Source organism: Homo sapiens, chromosome 16 (genome assembly GCF_000001405.40).
Source record: "Homo sapiens chromosome 16, GRCh38.p14 Primary Assembly".
Taxonomy (NCBI): domain Eukaryota; kingdom Metazoa; phylum Chordata; class Mammalia; order Primates; family Hominidae; genus Homo; species Homo sapiens.
Genome location: NC_000016.10, coordinates 75,515,739 through 75,536,339, shown reverse-complemented (window position 1 = coordinate 75,536,339; position 20,601 = coordinate 75,515,739). Strand labels below are relative to the sequence as shown.

General features: G+C 51.6%; 1 protein-coding gene across 1 annotated transcript, besides 2 other annotated features; it reads left to right on the top strand.

Moving 5' to 3' along the window:
• On the top strand, window positions 232-7,810 carry CHST5 (carbohydrate sulfotransferase 5). Its single transcript, NM_024533.5, has 4 exons — window positions 232-296; window positions 931-1,213; window positions 3,157-3,251; window positions 4,700-7,810. The coding sequence occupies exon 4, from the start codon at window positions 5,956-5,958 to the stop codon at window positions 7,189-7,191; it is 1,236 nt and encodes a 411-aa protein (NP_078809.2). The 5' UTR covers window positions 232-296; window positions 931-1,213; window positions 3,157-3,251; window positions 4,700-5,955; the 3' UTR covers window positions 7,192-7,810.
• Window positions 14,682-14,731: a silencer, noted in NCBI's record as "silent region_7723". NCBI's record gives its function as "represses an Ori minimal core promoter by ATAC-STARR-seq in GM12878 lymphoblastoid cells {active_cell/tissue: GM12878}" and the evidence as "EXISTENCE:reporter gene assay evidence [ECO:0000049][PMID:35858748]".
• Window positions 19,117-19,556: a silencer, noted in NCBI's record as "silent region_7722". NCBI's record gives its function as "represses an Ori minimal core promoter by ATAC-STARR-seq in GM12878 lymphoblastoid cells {active_cell/tissue: GM12878}" and the evidence as "EXISTENCE:reporter gene assay evidence [ECO:0000049][PMID:35858748]".

Genomic DNA, 20,601 nt, shown 5'->3' with positions numbered 1-20,601 from the left:
TGACCAGGCTGGTCTTGAACTCCTGACCTCAAGTGATCTGCCTGCCTTGCCTCCCAAAGTGCCGGGATTACAGTCATATGCCACCAGGCCAGGCTGAGCTGTTATTTGTAAGGGGTGGGTGGGGAGCTTTTATTTACTGAAACATATCCTGTATTCATTGGAACATGTTATCAAGCCTGCGCCTCTGGGCGGAGGCTAGGGCAGGGAGGGCACAGCTCCTAAGGCCACCTGGTCTTTCAACTCCTCCCAGCTGGGACACTGCACCGGGAGGCAGCACGGATTCCTGTGTCATCAAGGTGCCTGGGTCTTGGCTTAGGGCTGAGGTTGGGGCCTTGGGAAGGGTTTGGATTCCAAGTCCCTTGGCTGCAAGGATGCCCCCAAGAGCGAGGAGGGCCAAGATTAAGATTCGACTTCCTTCACTAGGGCCTTTGTCCTCCCAGGAGCTCCCAGGTTCTCTGGCGATTGGGGGGGTGAGGAAGGGTTACAACGTTCATTTGTGGTCAGTTAGATGAGAAGTGACTCTGCCAGCGTCCTTTGACATCCCCGGCTAAAAGGTGCGCCTCTTAGAGCCCCAGCCCACCTGGGCCCTCCTGCTCTGCCCTCGGCCAGCGCCCCTCCCCGAGACATGGCCCCTCGGTCGGGGGTGGGGAGAGGGAGCTGGGGGCAAAACCTGCTCCTTCCTTCCTTCTCCCATTTCCCTGGCTCCCGCCGGCCACCCTGGGACCGCAGCCACGTCTGAAAGCTCCTCACCAGGCAGCGCTGAAGATTGCGGGGCAGCGCCGAGGGTTGTTGGCCGGCGCGCGGGGAGTAGAGGGCGCGGGCCGCAGTGCCGGGCTCCGGAGGGAGCTCTGCGCCGGGTCCTTCCCTGTGGTAGCCCCAGGACACCCCCATCCTCAACATCCCATTCTGGGACTCCTGCCCTGTTCCCAGATTCGCTCTGCCTCGAGTCTCCAGGAGCTTCCAGTGGCTTGGTTACCCCCGACTCTTCGTCCATGCCTCTTAGAGCCCCTTTCCCAGCCTCACTGGGTGTCCCTTAATAGTCTTGGGACCTTAAGGAGCAAGTCAGCCCCTGCGGAACCTCCCAGTGAAGAGAAAGAGCTGGCTGTGCGGTGGAACTTGGAAGAGACGACGTCTGGGAGCTTTTGCTGAGCCCAGGGGGAGAGGCGTCCCTCTGGCTGCTGCTCCAGCTCTGGCAGACACGCCAAGCTTTGAGGTACTTTGGTTCTTCATTCTCCACCGGAGGTGTCCCCACACTCGGTTGGGCTGGGGGCCGGGCCAGTGGCCCAGCTGTGACGCTCCTCTGTCCTGCACCAGAGACCTGGGTTGGCGGGAAGAGCTGGGGGTGGCTTTTCCATCAGCAACGTGGAAAGTTCATCTCCCCTGCTAGCGCTGGTTTGGAAGTGTCTTGCTGGGGCTTCGGCTGCACGCGGGAATCCTCACTGCGCAGGGCAGGGGTCGGGGTGCGGGTTCTTATTCCATACTTGGGTCTCAAAGGGTGTGGCTTTCAAAAGCTCTCCATGAAATTCTTGAGAAAAAATAGCTTGGTGAGTTAATTTGCAACCAGACTCAGGGGAAGTGGAGTCGTGCCTCACTGCCTCTAGGGCCTTGATGTTAGGCTTTAGGAAAGGCCCTCTGGGCCCCAGGACAGTACAGGTGCCTAGGAAATGTTTTTTTGTTTGTTTGTTTGTTTGTTTGTTTCGAGACGGAGTCTCGCTCTGTCACCCAGGCTGAAGTGCAGTGGCCTGATCTTGGCTCACTGCAACCTGTCTCCTGGGCTCAGGTGATTTCCTGCCTCAGCCTCTGGAGTAGGTGGGATTACAGACGCCCGCCACCACACCCAGCTAATTTTTGTATTTTTACTAGAGACGGTGTTTCACCATGTTGGCCAGGCTGTCCAATTCCTGACCTCAGGTGATCCGCCCCGCTGAGGCTCCCAAAGTGCTGGGATCACAGGCGTGAGCCATGGCACTGGGCCCAAATTTTTGTTTTTGTTTTTGTTTTTTCAGATGGGGTCTCACTCTGTCACAGAGCCTGGAGTGCAATTGTGCCATCTCGGCTCACTGTAATCTCCACCTCCTGGGTTCAAGTGATTCTCCTGCCTCAGCCTCCCGAGTAGCTGGGATTATAGGCATGAGCCACTCTGCCCAGCTAATTTTAGCGATGGGGTTTCACCATGTTGGCCAGGCTGGTCTTGAACTCCTGACCTCAGGTGATCTACCCATCTTGGCCTCCCAAAACACTGGGATTACAGGCATGAGTCACCGCACCTGGCCTAATTTTTTTTTTTTTTTTTTTTTTTTTGATATGGAGTTTTGCTCCTGTTGCCCAGGCTAGAGTGCAATGGCACAATCTCGGCCACTGTAACCTGTGTCTCCTGGGTTCAAGCTACTCTCCTGCCTCAGCCTCCAAGTAGCTGAGATTACAGGCACCTGCCACCAGACCTGGCCTAATTTTTGTATTTTTAGTAGAGATAGGTTTTGCCTTGTTGGCCAGGCTGGTCTTGAACTCCTGGCGTCTGGTGACCACCCACCTAGGCCTCCCAAAGTGCTGGGATTACGGGCGTAAGCCACTGTGTCCAATGTCTAGCAAATGCAAATGTTGACTTCCTTTCTCTCTCCTTTTACACAGAGGCAAGGCAGTCAAGAATTGCATTTTGGCCAGGCGCTATGGCTCACGCCTGTAATCCCAACACTTTGGGAGGCCAAGTCTGCGATGCCCTCATCTCTACTTTTTTAATTTCGTGTGACCTGTTTGTATTATTTTTCTAAAAATTAAACATGTAATAAATATGTGCCCCCAGAAAAGAATCAAAAAACGGAAGAATTTAGAGGGGAAGGGGACAGTCCTTCCAGGATGGAAGAGTTCACTGGACAAAGGCTTAGGAGTGTGACCCACCACAGGGCCCTGCACTGGGAGTCTGGCTCTTGGACTTAAGCCCCTGCCCTGCCTCTTTCTTACTGGGTATTAATGTCTCTGAGCCCCACTGCTTCAATTAAAACAGATAGGGATGGTTATTTCTACCTCCAAGGGACTTGGGAGGATAACATTCAATCATGAAGATGAAAGTGCATATCACAGGGCCTGGCTGACTGGTTCTCCCTAACTTTGCACCCTTGGCCAATTGTCCACTGTGCTGAATGTAAGTCTCCTTATCAGAAAGCTCCCAGTGAGGAACTGGTCTTCTGGAGACTCTGTGTGGCATAGAGTGATTCAACCACCTTAAGAAGACCTCTGGCTTTCCTGGAACACAGGTAACAAACACCTTAGCTTGGGATCAAGATCCTCCCTACCCAGGGAAGGGCTGGGCTGGCCAGGACAACTGTGTTTGGGCCAGAGCAGCAGGGTCCTGCACTCTGCAGGGGGCAATCACAGGTGGGAGAGGCCCACAGCCTGGGATCAGAAGTGCCAGGAGCTTCGGAACAGGAGTCCTGGAGTCCCAGCTTTCTTGCTGTCTCTCTAAGCCTTGAGTCTTTCACCTGAAAAATTGACATCATCATGCCCACCTCAGGGCCCAGAGTTAAGTTATCCAGTGGACTCGAAGCACCTAGCACTTGTGATCATTGAAGTCAGCAAATATGAGTTCCCTTCCTTTCTGGCACTCTGTTGGCAAGGGAGCTCACCATCCATCAGCCAGCACTGGAAAAAGTACAGTTGCACTTGTAGCGGAGGTGGGGGGCTACTCTCCTCATCTTCCAGGTTTTCCAGGAGTGGGTGTGGGGATCCAGAAGGCAGCTCGGGAGTCAGCAGGTGACAGAGGTGTTGGGCATCCTCCGCTCACTCCTGTCCCCGCATTGAGGCGAAGGAGCAGAGGTGAGATCTGCTCACAAGTTAGACCCTGGCTTCTCTCAGTGGGCAGTGTGGACAGGGGAAGGGGGCAGGCAAGGAGCAAAGGATGCAGGAGCAAGGAGAAAACTTCCAGGCTCCTCCCTTCCAAAGTCACCCAGCCTTGAGATCATTGCAGATGCAACAGGTGCAAACAGAAGAACACTTTAGGACCTTGGAATGCGGGAGGCTGGCTCAGTGTTCCTTCCACCCTGTGAGAAATGCGTGACATTCTTAAGGTCCACTAAAGGCTCAGGGTGGTTGGACGCCAGAGGATGGCCTGGGAGATACAGGGATTGGAAGGGTAGGTGGCCTGTGGGTGTCTCCTCTGTGGGGAGACTCACCAGGTGGAGGGGGTTCTTTCTCTCCAGATGTAGCTCAGCACAGGGACAGTAACAGTAACAGGGGCATGTGTGTAAGGAATGCTTCCCCAGGCCCTCCCCTCATAGGTGTTTGCAGCAGCATCCATCACAACAGCTCTAAGAGGTTAAATATTGCAAATCCCATTCTACAGAGGTGCAAATTGAGCCTCAGAGAAGTTAAGTCACTTGCCCCAGGTCTCATAGCTCCCCATTGGCAGTGCTGGGATTTGGAGCCAGCTCTCTCGCTTCCATCCATCAGGAGACCCCGCCAGTTCCCAGCCATTTGGAGAAATGCCCTACTCAGACTTATTCAACCTCAGCAAGCCTGGTGGTGGTGTGACATCCGCCTAAACCGTCATCAAGCCCTTTAGCTCCACAACCCAAAAGGGTCTCTCTACGAGTTATCCTGAAGCAAAAGGCAGGCAGGACAGCTCTGTTCCCACCCTGGGGAGCTTTCTATGTACAGGGCTGTCTCTCTGTAGGGCTCTGATCTCCTCTCCTTCCTGCTTTGCCAGATGTCGAGACATCTCCCATGGATTTGTGATCAGCGTTGCAGCTCTCCCAGCAGCCCTGGACGGTGGTGAGTCCCCTCAGCTGGCCAGGACAGTACTCTGCTCTCACCTCTCTGCTTCTTGGGCTCCATCCCAGCTCCCCATCAACTGATCTTCTTGCAAACCCACAGGGCTCCAGGACACCCTCCTTCTGGAGCCCATGCTGCCTACAGCACTTCACTCCCCACCAGTGATGACAACAGTTGCTGTTCTTTGTCCACTTTATTTACTTGTTTATCTTTAATGACAAAAGTTTTTTTTTTGTTGTTTTTTTTTTTTTTTTTGAAACGGAGTCTCACTCTTCACTCAGGCTGCAGTGCAGTGGCGCAATCTCAGCTCACTGCCACCTCTGCCTCCCAGGTTCACGCCATTCTCCTGCCTCAGCCTCCCGAGTAGCTGGGACTACAGGCGCCCACCATCACGCCTGGCTAATTTTTTGTATTTTTAGTAGAGATGGGGTCTCACTGTGTTAGCCAGGATGGTCTCGATCTCCTGACCTCGTGATCCGCCCGCCTCGGCCTCCCATAATGCTGGGATTACAGGCGTGAGCCACCGCGCCTGGCTGACAAAAGTTTTATACCTGCCTGTTAAAAAAATTATATAATACAGAAGCACACCTTGTAAAAGGTGCAATCCTCAGTTATGGGCATGACTGCGTGTTCCCTTCCCCCATCTTCATTATAATAACCCCCCAATCCCCCCAGATCCTGTGAGCCAGGTACCGGAATTATCCCTCTTTCACACACGGGTAAAGTGATCCGTCACAGAGAGATTTAAGTGATCTTCATAAGCAAGATCATAGGCTAGGAAGTGGCAGAGCCAGGATTCAACCTCGGCGAGCCTGGTGGTGCTCTGACATCCACCGAAGCCCCCATCAAGCCCTTTTAGCTCCACAACCTAAAAGGGTCTCTCTAAGAGGTATCCTGAAGCAAAAGACAGGAGTTCTCTTTGAAACATAGTATTTCTCTCTACAGATAGATAGCCTGTAGGTATGTAAGTAGGTGGGTGGGTGGGTAGGTAGACAGTTTGATGATATCCCACATTATTCTGCAACTGGACTTCTGCTGTGAGCACAGACTATATTCTGGCCTATGTCTTGACTCCGTATTCCTGGGAAAGTGCTCGACTGAGACCTTGGGAGTCTTGGGAAGTCCAATGGGTAGGGTAGCCGAATCTGAGGGCTGATCCCTGAGGGCACTGGGCAGTAATTGGGGCATGGGATGGGCATGAGGGCCCGGGTCCCTAAAGTTGCCCACTCCACCCGAAGGCCCCCAGCCGCCCGCATGTGGCTGCCACGGTTCTCCAGCAAGACAGTGACAGTGCTCCTCCTGGCACAGACCACCTGCCTCCTGCTCTTCATCATCTCCCGGCCAGGGCCCTCATCCCCAGCCGGCGGCGAGGATCGTGTGCACGTGCTGGTGCTGTCCTCGTGGCGCTCGGGCTCATCCTTCTTGGGCCAGCTCTTCAGCCAGCACCCCGACGTCTTCTACCTGATGGAGCCCGCGTGGCATGTGTGGACCACCCTGTCGCAGGGCAGCGCGGCAACGCTGCACATGGCCGTGCGCGACCTGATGCGCTCTATCTTTTTGTGCGACATGGACGTGTTTGATGCCTACATGCCACAGAGCCGAAACCTGTCCGCCTTTTTCAACTGGGCAACGAGCCGCGCGCTGTGCTCGCCGCCCGCCTGCAGCGCCTTTCCCCGAGGCACCATCAGCAAGCAGGACGTATGCAAGACACTGTGCACGCGGCAGCCATTCAGCCTGGCCCGGGAGGCCTGCCGCTCCTACAGCCACGTGGTGCTCAAGGAGGTGCGCTTCTTCAACCTGCAGGTGCTCTACCCGCTGCTCAGCGACCCCGCGCTCAACCTGCGCATCGTGCACCTGGTGCGCGACCCGCGGGCCGTGCTGCGCTCCCGGGAGGCGGCGGGCCCGATACTGGCACGCGACAACGGCATCGTGCTGGGCACCAACGGCAAGTGGGTGGAGGCCGACCCTCACCTGCGCCTGATTCGCGAGGTGTGCCGCAGCCACGTGCGCATCGCCGAGGCCGCCACACTCAAGCCGCCACCCTTCCTGCGCGGCCGCTACCGCCTGGTGCGCTTCGAGGACCTGGCGCGGGAGCCGCTGGCAGAGATCCGCGCACTCTACGCCTTCACCGGCCTGACCCTCACGCCACAGCTCGAGGCCTGGATCCACAACATCACCCACGGGTCGGGGATCGGCAAGCCAATCGAGGCCTTCCATACTTCGTCTAGGAATGCGCGCAACGTCTCCCAGGCCTGGCGCCACGCGTTGCCCTTCACTAAGATCCTGCGCGTGCAGGAGGTGTGCGCCGGCGCGCTGCAGCTGCTGGGCTACCGGCCTGTGTACTCTGCGGACCAGCAGCGTGACCTCACCCTGGATCTGGTGCTGCCACGAGGCCCAGACCACTTCAGCTGGGCATCGCCTGACTGAGAACTCTGGGCCTTAGAGCAGGCCCCGAACTGTGGTCGCCAGGCCCAGGAGGCGACTGCATGGTGGAGAGGGAGCTGGGGCGCATGGGGAAGCAGGTCCCTACTATCAACCGGGAGTTTGGGGTCCTCCCCTGAAGTAGGCAAGGACTGCACGTTTCTTTCTCTCCTGATTCTCGGTTTTCCTTTGAGTCTTCTGGAGCTGCCTTCTCATCAGGTGCACTCTTCATGGAAAGCAACTCTTGCCCCTACCTCTTCTGGGCGCAGGGAGTAAGTTACTGCTAAATTAAATTAAATGTGTGCCAGGCCGGGTGCGGTGGCTCATGCCTGTAATCCCAGCATTTTGAGAGGCTGAGGCGGGTGGATCACCTGAGGTCAGGAGTTCGAAACCAGCCTGGCCAACATAGTGAAACCCCCTCTCTACTAAAAATGCAAAAATTAGTCCGGCGTGGTGGCACACTCCTGTAATCCCAGCTACTTAGGAGGCTGAGGTGGGAGAATCACTTGGACTCCAGAGGTGGAGGTTGCAGTAAGCTGAGATCATGCCACTGCACCCTAGCTTGGGTGGCAGAGCAAGACTCTATCAAAAAAATAAGTAATAAATTTGTTCAAAAGTCCTGCAATCTAGTGAACTGTAACCTCATTTTTTCTCTCTTTTTTCTTTAATTGCATGATTCCATTTATTTAAAGCAGAAAAACTAGTCTATGGTGATAGAGGTCAGAATAGGGGATACTTTGTAGGGAGGATTTGACTGGGATGTAACCTTATTTATTATGTAAACAAACTACAACTTGACCAGGCAGTATATTCTTGTAAGAAGAAAGGAGTCTTCTCCAATCATAGCAGCCAGCCTTCAGCCAGGGGCAGACTGCAGACTGACCAGATGTGTCCAAATTAGACAAAGGTTGAGCTGTAACCAATCAGCCTATATCCAATGCCACTTCCTTTTTCTGTTTATAAACGCTGCTTGCCCACTGTTGCTGGGTGGAGGTCTCTGAAACCTCTCTAATGTAGATCTCTCATTTAATGGGGAGGGTTTGGCCTTTAATCACCATCATCCCTGAACAAAGACTGACCAATTGGACTCAAATGCTATTGAACTATCTTTATTGCATGGACTTTGAGTTATTTGATTTTGACTAGTTGTTTGTTGAAACTCCTGATAAGGAGTGTACTTCAGTTTCTTGGCATTGTCCACTCATAGCCATCATAATAGTCTCCCTGGTCGGGCACAGTGACTCACGCCTGTAATCCCAGCACTTTAGGAGGCCAAGGCAGGCAGATCGCTTGAGCTCAGAAGTTCGAGACCAGCCTGGCCAACATAGTGAAACCCTGTCTCTGTTAAAGATACAAAAAATAGCCAGTGTGGTTGTGCATGCCTGTAATCCCAGCTACTCAGGAGGTTGAGGCAGGAGAATCTCTTGAATCCAGGAGGTGGAGGTTGCAGTGAGCCAAGATTGCACCACTGCACTCCAGCCAGGGTGACAGAGCAAGACTCCATCTTAAATAACAATAATAGGCCAGGCACAGTGGCTCAAGCCTGTAATCCCGGCACTTTGGAAGGCCAAGGCGGGTGGATCACTTGAGGTCAGGAGTTCAAGACCAGTCTAGCCAACATGGTGAAACCCTGTCTCTACTAAAATACAAAAATTAGCCAGTGTGGTTGTGCATGCCTGTAATCCCAGCCACTCAAGAGGTTGAGGCAGGAGAATCGCTTGAACCTGGGAGGTGGAGGTTGCAGTGAGCCAAGATTGCGCCACTGTACTCCAGCCTGGGTAACAGAGCGAGACTCCCTCTCAAAAATAATAATAATAATAAAATAATAATAATAATAGTCTCTCTGATGTGTTGACTCCCCTGGGAAGTCTTACATACTCCTATGCAGCCATTCTTTATAAATCAACTGGTCTGTTAGGGTTAGAGTAACAAAAACATGAAGAAAGCATAAAGAATCATTCAACTAAGGTGAAATTGTGAAGTCAATACTGAAACAAAACAAGTCCATTATGATGGTGACAGGAAATGGAGTCAGGGCCCAAGGTTTTGGTCAATCTCTCAAAATTGAGAGGCTGACCAAAAGGCAGAAATGTTTAAATTCAATTAAATTTGGCCCAAAGTTCCCAGCACTTTGGGAGGCCAAGGTGGGCGGATCATGAGGTCAGGAGATCGAGACCATCTTGGCCAACATGGTGAAACCCCATCTCTACTAAAATACAAAAAATTAGCCGGGCATGGTGGCACATGCCTATAATCCCAGCTACTCGGGAGGCTGAGGCAGAGGAATCACTAGAACCCAGGAGGCAGAGGTTGCAGTGAGCTGAGATCGTGCACTGCACTCCAGCCTGGTGACAGAGCAAGACTCCGTCTCCAAAAAAAAAAAAAGAGAATTTGGCCCAAAGCTGCTGCCATACCTGTTGAACTGCAACCTAACTTAATATTTAAGTAAACTGCCTCCCAACTGAGACTATATTCTTGTAACAAATAGTTGAATCTCAGCAAGTCACAGCAGCTGTGCTTTAACCAGTCACAGGCTGCCAACTGATCAGACCAAGTCCATATAAGGCAAATGCTGAGCTGTACCCCATCAGACTGTTTCTCTGTGTTACTTCCAAAAAATTCGGCCTGCCAGTGTTTCTGGGTGGAGCACTTTGAACCTTTACTGGTTCAGGGTGCTGCCCGATTCATAAATTTTCTTTGCTCAAATAAAGTCTGCTTAATTTGTCTAATGTTTTTCTATTAACAGTTCAGATGACTTGGCCTCTACCCAAACTCTTTCTTTCCCCTAGACTCTCCTCTCTTGGAATGCATCCTGAAGCAGCTGAAAAGGGGTGCCCCGGGCCCAGCAGGGAGCAAAATCTGGTGATATTGCTTCTGAACATCCCACATGTGCCACACACGTGCACCCCCCCACACACACACATGCACACTCACATGCACACTCACATGCACACTCACATGCACACTCACATGCACACTCACATGCACACTCACATGCACACACAGCCTGGACTCTGTTCCCCTTATGCCCCTGGCACCACACTCCATCAAAGCCATTGACCTTTATATCCCCCTGTGTCTTCAGTAAGAGGTATATCAGGCCAGACATGGTGGCTCATCCCTGTAATTATCAATTACCCGGTCTCTGGTATTCTGTTACAGCAGCACAAAAGGGACTAAAATAGGCTCCTTAACAAAAAGATTCACAGACAAGAAGTTTGTTTGTTTGTTTGTTTGTTTTGAAATAGTGTCTTGCTTTGTGGCCCAGGCTGGAGTGCAGTGGTTCCATCTTGGCTCACTGCAACCCCCACATCACTGACTCAAGAGATTCGCCCATCTTAACCTCCCAAGTAGCTGGGACTACAGGCACATCACTATGCCAGGCTAATTTTTGTATTTTGGGGGGCTACATGTGTTTCAGTATGTAGCCCACGCTGATCTGTAACTCCTGTGCTCAGCCTTCCGAAGTGCTGGGATTACAGGTGTGAGCCACTGTGCCTGCCCAAGAACAGTTCATTAATACATGCAGCATATATCACACAGGACAAACCTAAATGAAAAGTAACAACACAGTGGCTCAGAACACTGCCTTACACAGCAGATTCCAAAAGACACAATAAATTTGTAGAGAAATAACAGGAAAAAGAAAGTTTTAGGCCTCCAAAGGTGAGAAACTGTGCATAGGTAAATATCTGAGAGGAAGCCGATGCAGCAGGATTTCTCTGCGGTGCCTCTGGTACCGCCGCTGGCTGGGCAAAGTTAAGGGTTGTCTCCAGTGAAGGAGAGTTTATATTGTGCCTTTAGGCAGAAAGGGGAGGGAAACCTGAACTTTTCCTGTATTTTCTGCTTCTTAATTGCCTTAAGCTGAAAATCATTTTTATGTGAAAGAGGCATAATCTGGGATGACGCCTCTGCTTTCCTCCACCTGAAGAGAACCTGTGTGCTGCTCCTTTGCTTTGGACCTCTACCTCTGCCACGGAGAAAGCCCAGGCCAACCTGCTGGACAAGCAGGGACCGTGAGAAGGAGAGTTCAGGTGTCCCAATCCAGGCCATCCTAGACCAGCCAGCCCCTCACGAGCCCCAGCTGATCAGCACGCAGCCACTTCTGCTATCTTCTACTGGCCAAAGTGAGTCCAGGGTTCACCCAGATTCAGAGGTGGGGAAACTGAGTCCACCACTTGAGAGGAGTAGCTATAAAGACATACGAGCGAGACCAGCTGAGCCCAGCACTGCTGGCCAAGTTGAAGACTTTAGGACCAGCCACACATGTTCCGTGGCCACACGTGGCCAGTGGCTCCATATTGGACAATGCCAATCAGACTCCTCATTCTCATTACATTTGTATACCCTTCTGGCCCTGAGATCTTTCTATATCCGCATCTGACTAAGATGCTCTACTAGAGAACAGCATCTACTTCATATTTCCATCCTTTGGAAACCCAAAGAGCCAGCAGAAGTTTTGACTTTGCAATTGATCCTACACGTTCAAATTTCTAGCATCTATCAGACCGTGTAAGATGGAAGAGAGACTTACAAGGGCTCCCATTACCTAGCCCAGGGTATGTGCTCAGGGCTCTTGGCACTTCTCCTCTTGGTTACACATGGTTCAGATAATGTTGGCCACTTCTTAACATTAGTTTCTCATGGCTTGATTCCTAGGAAGCATTATTCCTCCCATTTTAAGAGGGCAGCCAGTTGAGTGATTCAATGAGTCAGGCCCAGTACCAGGCCCCAGGGACACAGTAAGAGACAGAGTACACATAGCCCTTGCTCTTGTCTGGGGTGCAGACACTAAACAAATAATCAAACAGATTAAACATGCAATTATAGGTTTTAATTATGCCCTAAGAAAAAACAAAGCCGGGGGCAGTGACACAACTGTAATCCCAGCACTTCGGGAGGCTGGGACAGGAGGATTGCTTGAGGACATGAGTTCAAGACCAGCCAGGCAAATGAATCTTGTGGGATAGCACTGTCAGGCTGGGCTCTGAGCCTGCATCAAAGCAGACCCTGTGTCTACAAAACATTTTTAAAAGTTGGTCAAGCATGGTGGTACACGGCTGTAGTCCTAGCTACTTGGGAGGCTGAGGCGGGGGTGTTGCTTGAGCCTAGAAGTTCGAGGCTGCAGTGAGCTACAGTGAGCTGTGATTCATCCCACTACACTCCAACCTGTGCGACACAGCAAGACATCATCTCTAATTTAAAAAAAAAAAAAAAAAAAAAGAAGGAAAGAAAGAAAAAAGGATGATACAAAATAAGCCGAGCGTGGTGGCACATGCCTGTAATCCCAGCTACTCGGGAGGCTGAGGCAGGAGAATCGCTTGAACCTGGGAGGCGGAGGTTGCCATGAGCTGAGATCGCGCCACTGCACTCTAGCCTGGGCAAGAAGAGCGACACTCCATCTCGAAAAAAAAAAAAAAAAAAAGAGGCAGGTGCAGTGGCTCACTCCTGTAATCCCAGGACTTTGGTAGGCCATGGCAGGTGGATCACTTGAGGCCAGGAGTTTGAAACCAACCTGGCTAACATGGCAAAACCTCAGCTCTACTAAAAATAAAAAAAAATTAACCAGGCGTGGTGGTGCGCATCTGTAATCCCAGCTACTTGGGAGACTGAGGCAGGAGAATCACATGAACCTGGGAGGTGGAGGTTGCAGTGAGCCGAGATCATGACATTGCACTCTAGCATGGGTGACAGAGGGAGACTGCATCTCAAAAAAAAAAAAAAAAAAATGAAGAAGCGGCTGGGCACGGTGGCTCACACCTGTAATCCCAGCACTTTGGGAAGCCAAGGCGGGTGGATCACGAGGTCAGGAGTTCCAGACCAGCCTGGCCAACATGGTGAAACCCCCATCTCTACTAAAAATACAAAAATTAGCTGGGCGTGGTGGCAGACGCCTGTAATCCCAGCTACTTGGGAGGCTGAGGCAGGAGAATCACATGAACCTGGGAGGCAGAGGTTGCAGTGAGTCTAGATGGTGTCATTGCACTCCAGCCTGGGCAATAGAGTGAGACTCTGTCTCAAAAAAAAAAAAGAAGCAAATATGAAGACTATGTAGTCTTGAAGAGGACACAATCTTTTGAACAAGACACAAAATCCACAAACTGTGAAGAAAGAATTCACTTTCAAAATATAATAAATAGGACAAAACTTTTTGGAATTTGCTTGTGGTGACGTGGTGATCTGATCTCACAGGTCTATACATCTAATTTTATACCTTACATATAAATATTTTATATAAATTATGTCTCAATACTTTTTTTTACAGAAGCATTGGGGGAAAATACCATAAAGTAGGTTAAAAAACAGATGACAAGCTAGCAGAAACCATTTGCCATAAAAATAAGAGCAAAACCAAGAGGAAGCGGAAAGTCAACAGAAAAATGAGCAAAGCCCTTTAACAAAGAAAAAAGAAGGCCAGGCCGGGCGCAGTGGCTCACGCCTGTAATCCCAGCACTTTGGGAGGCTGAGGTGGGTGGATCACCTGAGGTCAGGAGTTTGAGACCAGCCTGGCCAACATGGCAAAAACCCGTCTCTACTAAAAATACAAAAATTAGCCGGGTGTAGTGGCACACGCCTGTAGCCCCAGCTACTTCAGAAGCTGAGGCAGGAGAATTGCTTGAACCCGGGAGGCAGAGGTTGCAATGAGCCGATATTGCTCCACTGCACTCCAGCCTGGGTGATAGAGCAAGACTCCGTCTCAAAAAATAATAATAATAATAATGATAATAAAAAGGAGAAAAAGGAAGGCTGTTGATTAATAAGCATGAAAAGATGCTTAGCTGCCCAGGGAATTAAAGAAACGTAGGTTAAAACAACATCAAGTAACATTTTTAACCCATCAGCTATGCAAAAGTGAAAATGATAGATTTAGCCATGTATAGGTGGTGGTAGCACCCACCACCACGCCTGGCTAATTTTTATATTTTTAGTAGAGACAGGGTTTCACCACGTTGGTCAGGCTGGTCTCAAACTCCTAACCTCAGGTGATCCACCCGCCTTGGCCTCCCAAAGTGCTGGGATTACAGGCATGAAGCACTGCGCCCGGCCTTTTTAATTTTTTTTGGACAGTCTTGCTCTGTTGCCCAGGCTGGAGTGCAACGGCACAATTTCGGCTCACTGCAACCTCCACCTCCCTGGTTCAAACGATTCTCCTGACTCAGCCTCCCAAGCAGCTGGGATTACAGGCACCCACCACCATGTCCAGGTAATTTTTATGTTTTTATTTTATTTATTTATTTTTAATTTTATTTTTTGAGACAGAGTTTCGCTCTTGTTGCCTAGGCTGGAGTGCAATGGTACGATCTTGGCTCATACAACCTCTGCCTCCCAGGTTCAAGCGATTTTACTGCCTCAGCCTCTTGAGTAGCTGGGATTACAGACATTCGCCACCATGCCCAGCTAATTTTGTATTTTTAGTAGAGAAGGGGTTTCTCCACGTTGGTTAGGTTGGTCTTGAAGTCCCAACCTCAGGTGATCCGCCCGCCTCAGCCTCCCAAAGTGCTGGGATTACAGGTGTGAGCCACTGTGCCCAGCTCCAGGGCTGGTTATCTTTGTATTTTCAGGTAGCCAGTTCTCCCCACGCCCTCTACTGAAAGATCTCATGCATCACATTTTCTCCCTTTGGGGTAAGACCAGAGAACCTGGCCTGTCCTGCAAGTCTTGTGTTATTCTGATCCCAGTCTTCATGAACTCCACTCATTCATTCAACACACATTATGGGTTGAGCACCAACCAGGCATCGGGCTTTTGGAGGAGCTGGAGATAGAGCAGGACCAAGATAGACAAAAAGCAAAAACCCCTGCCCTGTAGGAACTTGCATTCTGATGGTGGGACACAGCCAGTGAATGAGAAGTTTGATAAATGGCTAAATTATTTAGCATATTAGAAAGTGCCAAAGATTAAAGTGGAGAGGGATCAGGGGATTAGGAATGTATGTGTGTTTAGGGGTGTGAGTTGTTAATTTTTTTTTTTAAGACAGAGTTTCACTCTGTCACCCAGGCTGGAGTGTAGTGGCACGATCTTGGCTCACTGCGATGTCTGCCTCCCGGGTTCAAGGGATGCTCCTGCCTCAGCCCCGCTGAGTAGCTGGAAATACAGGCGTTCGCCACCATGTCTGGCTAATTTTTATATTTTTAGTAGAGATGGGGTTTCACCATGTTGGCCAGGGTGGTCTCGAACTCCTGACTTCAGGCAATCCGCCTGCCTCAGCCTCCCAGAGTTCTGGGATTACAGGCGTGAGCCATTGTGCCTGGCTTTTTTTTTTTTTTTTTTTTTTTTTGAGACTGAGTCTGGCTCTATTGCCCAGACTGGAGTGCAGTGGCGCGATTTCGGCTGACTGCAAACTCTGCCTCCCAGGCTCAAGTGATTCTCCTGCCTCAGCCTCCTGAGTGGCTGGGATTACAGGTGCCTGCCACCACCTGGCTAATTTTTTTGTATTTCAAGACCAGGCTGGTCTCAAACTCCTAACCTCAAGTGATCCACCTGCCTTGGCCTCCCAAAGTACTGGGATTACAGGAGTGAGCCACCATGCCTGGCCTTTTTTTTGTTTTTTGTTTTTTTTTGAGACAGTGTCTCACTTTTTCACCCAGGCTGAAGTGCAGTGGAGTGCAATGGCACGATCTCAGGTCACTGCAACCTCCACCTCCCGGGTTCAAGTAATTCTCCTGCCTCAGTCTCCCGAGTAGCTGGGATTACAGGTGCATGCCACCAGGCTCAGCTAATTTTTTTGTATATTTAGTAGAGACAGGGTTTCACCATGTTGGCCATGGCTGGTCTCGAACTCCTGACCTCAAATGATCCACCCGCCTCAGCCTCCCAAAGTGCTGGGATTACAGGCATGAGCCACTACGCCCAGCAGTTTCTTCCACTTCTAATAGACTCTGCTAGTCTAGGAAATGTACCAAAAAGACAGCATGGTTAAAGGTCAGTATTTCATGACCTTTTTTATACTTCCTATTTTTATTTTATTTAGGTTTCTTGGTTGATACAAAACGTCAATTGTAGTGGTAGGGAACCTGCATAAGGAAGCTTCCTAAACAGAGGCTTCAAGAGAGAACACTAATAGGCCGGGCATGTTGGCTCATGCCTGTAATCCCAGCACTTCGGAAGCCCAAGGCGGGTGGATCACCTGAGGCCAGGAGTTCAAAGCTGGCCTGGCCAACATGGTGAAACCCCCCTCTACTAAAAATACAAAAATTAGCTGGGCGTGGTGGCAGGTGCCTGTAGTCCTGGCTACTCGGGAGGCTGAGGCGGGAGAATCGCTTGAACCCGGGAGGTAGAGGTTGCAGTGAGCCGAGAACGTGCCACTACACTCTAGCCTGGGCCAGAGAGTGAGACTCTGTCTCAAAGAAAAAAAAAAGGTCGGGGGAGGCTTGAGAGAATGGGTTCACTTTCTTCCTCCATGTGAGGACCCATAGGTAGTGCCAGCAGTGAGGCACAGGCCCTTTCCAGATACGCAACCTACAGGCGCCTATATCGTGGACCTCCCAGCCTCCAGAACCATGAGAAAGTAAATTTCTGTTCTTTATAAATTACCCAGTTTACTTAAAAAAAAATTTTTTTTGAGACAGGGTTTCCCTCTCTTGCCCAGGCTGGAGTTAAGGAGCACCATCTCTGCTCACTGCAGTCTCCGCCTCCCAGGCTCAAGCAATCATCCTACCTTAGCATCCTGAGTAACTGGGATTGCAGGCATATGCCACCACGTCTGGCTAATTTTTCTATTTTTTGTAGAGATGGGATCTTGCTATATTGCCCAGGCTAGTCTCGAACTCCTGGGCTCCAGTGATCCTCCTGCCCTGGCCTCCTAAAGTGCTGCGATTGCAGGCTTGAGCCACCACACCTGACCTTGCTTATTCCTTTTCACAATTTCTCTGCCTACATTTTAACGGGATCTCTGAAGGGAGGTGAGTCAAAAGTGTGATCCAGTTTTGTTGTATTGAATAGAAGGTCTTTAAATTTTTATTGTATTTAAAACTCGGTAGCAGCTGGGCAAGGTGGCTCATGCTTGTAATCTCAGCACTTTGAGAAGCTCAGGCAGGGAGGATTGTTTCAGGCACAAGTTCGAGATCAGCTTGGGGTAACACAGTGAGACCCCATTCTTTTTTTAATTTCTTTTCTTTTCTTTTCTTTTATCAGACAGAGTTTTGCTCTGTTGCCCAGGCTGGAGTGCAATGGTGCCACCTTGGCCAACTGCAACCTCCACCTCCCAGGTTCAAGCGATTCTCCTGCCTCAGCCTCCTGAGTAGCTGGGACTACAGGCGCGCACCACTACGCCCAGCTAATTTTTGTATTTTTAGTAGAGAGGAGATTTCACCACGTAGGCCAGGCTAGTCTCGAACTCCTGACCTCAAGTGATACACCAGCTTCGGCCTCCCAAAGTGCTGGGATTACAGGTATGAGCCACTGCGCCCAGCCGAGACCCCATTCTTAGACACACACACACACACACACACACACACACATGAGAGAGAGAGACAGTGAGAGAGAGAATTAGAGAATTAGCTGGTCATGGTGGTGCATGCCTGTAATCCCAGCTACTCAGGACGCTGAGGAATGAGAATTGCTTGAGGCAGAGGCTGCAGTGAGCCAAGATCGTGCCACTGCACTCCAGCCTGGGCGACAGAGCTAGACCCTGTCTCAAAACAACAACAAAAAACAACTACTTTGCACTGTACAGAGACTATATATCCACAGGCCAACCTCCCTCCCATTCCGGTCCCACACCAGCCTTTTAATAGGTTTTTTACAAGGCCGGGCGCGGTGGCTCACGCCTGTAATCCCAGCACTTTGGGAGGCCGAGGCGGGCGGATCACAAGGTCAGGAGATCGAGACCATCCTGGCTAACATGGTGAAAGCCCGTCTCTACTAAAAAAAAAAAAAAAAAAAAAAATACAAAAAATTAACCGGGCCTGGTGGCAGGCGCCAGTAGTCCCAGCTACTTGGGAGGCTGAGGCAGGAGAACGGCGTGAACCCGGGAGGCGGAGCTTACAGTGAGCCGAGATCGCACCACTGCACTCCAGCCTGGGCGACAGAGCAAGACTCCGTCTCAAAAAAAAAAATAGGCTTTTTACTATCCGGTTTAAATAGAGAATTTTTTTTTGCTTGTTTTTTGTTTTCTCTCTTTTTTTTTTTTTTTTTTTGTTTTTTGAGACAGAGTCTCACTCTGTCGCCCAGGCTGGAGTGCAGGGGCCCGATCTCGGCTCACTGCAACCTCCTCCTCCCGGATTCAAGCGATTCTCCTGCCTCAGCCTCCCGACTAGCTAGGATACAGGCGCGCACCACCACGCCCGGCTAATTTTTGTATTTTTGGAAGAGACGGGGTGTCACCATGTTGGCCAGGATGGTCTCAAACTCCTGACCTCAAGTGATCCGCCCGCCTCGGCCTCCCCCCAGAGTGCTGGGAGTACAGGCGTGAGCCACCGCACCCGGCCTGAGAATGTTCGTATTCTACTCATGAAGACTTCGTAAATATTGGGGTCCAGACCTAGATACTACAACGTTACAAATCTGTTCTGATCACTGCTTTGCCAGATCCCTGGTAAATCCACAGCTCTGGCCGGGGGCGGGGGGGCCGCATGCAATTCCCTTCTTTCCTACAGGGGGCGCTGCAGAGAAGGGCAGAGCAGAGCGCGCAGTTCGCGGGCAGGGGCCGCTTCTCCAGGATAGCGCGCGTCCGAGGGGGTGGGTCTGTGCTAGCCCTGCGCAACCTCAGGGGCGGGAACAACTCTGGCTCTGCCCCCGCCGGCTGGAGCGCCTTCTCATTGGAGGAGGGAACGGTCACTTGGCAGCGCCGTTGGGATTGGAGGAAGAGGGTCTCGGGTGGAGTGACGCTGAGGCGGCGAGGGGGCTGGTGGCTGGCCGCTGCTGCCCTTCGGTAGCTGGTCCCTTAACTCAGTGGTGAATGGCGACCGGATGGAGCTCTAGGGAAGCGACAGCAGCGGCGGGTGGGCCGGGTTATGGGCGCCCCGAGTCCGGGCGGCGTCCCCGGTGTGCCGCTGACCTGCTGGGTGGGCGCTGTCCTCCCGGAGGGGGGTCCCTTTGCTCTCCCGGACCCCTTTACCCGTCACTTCCTCGCCGGTCCCTGAGGCAGGTCCCCGGAGCCCCGCTGGGCGTGAGGTGCAGGGAGCGGCCGCAGGTGGACCCGGGGCTGGAGGGCGCTCGGCCACCACCCGAGCGGGTCTTGGCCTTGAGCTTCCGAGCGCCTCAGGTTCAGAGCTGCACCCCACGAGCCCGGGAGGCGGTGGTCCGCGCCCTGCCTGGGTTGCCCCACGGCGCCCGGCCTCCTTCGAGGGGCCTCGGAGCGGCCCGGCCCGGCCCGGCTGAGGAGTCAGAGCTCGCGCTCCCCTTGCCCGGGAGCTGCAGCCCGGCTCCTCCGTGCGGGCGCTCGTTCGCTGATCGCGGGCACCTCGGGCCAAATCCACCCCCTCCGAGACCCGCTCCGCTTTCTAGGAGTCTCTTTCCCAGACCTGGTGCCACCTGTTGCTGGGTCTCCCACTAAGCCTTCGAGATCTTTGGCATAGCTTCCTTTGAACTCTTCCTCCCCGCTGCGGCTTGAGCTGGGCCTGCTAGGAGGGTTGCTCAGAATTCCAATGCCAGAAAGAACGCTCCGTGCCCTGAAAGCTGGAGGGAGGAGAGAGGACTTCACCTGGGAAGGAGGAGAAAAGCTTTGAGGGGAGGCACAGTTATTTGTGTGGTCCTTGAAAGGCAAGAAGACTGGGGCCCGTGGCCCTGAAAGGGGAGGTGGGGCTCCCAGCAGAGGGGACTGAGGTCTTCATAAACAATGAGGGACCAGAGCAGAGGGAAGGAGGACGAGATTCCAGACTCTAGTTCCAAACAAGGCACCTGTGATTTCTCATCCCCTGGGCAGTGACTGCCAGGCGCCCTTCAGCGGACACCTGGGACTTGCAGTGTTATGTGCCCAGGGATTTTCCTGGACGGGATTGTGAAGTAGCGGGTAAGGTCATCAGGCAGGTTGGGGTCAGATGCAGATGTTCGCTTGTGGTCATTCCTGAAATGAGAATCTGGCAGCTCACGTTATTTCAGAAGGTGCTAGGATCACTTTTGACAGTGATACCAAAAAATTGATGGTATTCTGGTGACCCTGTGTGAAAAATGAAATGTTCGTGCAATCTGGAGACACTACTGGGACCAGATTAATCTGTTTTTGTTTCCTTATTTATTTATTTTTGAGACGGAGTTTAGCTCTTGTTGCCCAGGCTGGAGTACAATGGCGCGATCTCGGCTCACTGCAACCTCCCCCTCCTAGATTCAAGCGATTCTCCTGTCACAGGCTCCCGAGTACCTGGGATTACAGGCATGCACCACCACGCCTGGCTAATTTTGTATTTTTAGTAGAGACGGGGTTTCTCCATGTTGGTCACGTTGGTCGTCAACTCCCAACCTCAGGTGATCTGCCTG

What these genes read in the sequence shown, in the direction of transcription:
- CHST5 (NM_024533.5), top strand. Translation starts at nt 5,956, where the DNA reads ATGGGCATGAGGGCCCGGGTCCCTAAAGTTGCCCACTCCACCCGAAGG.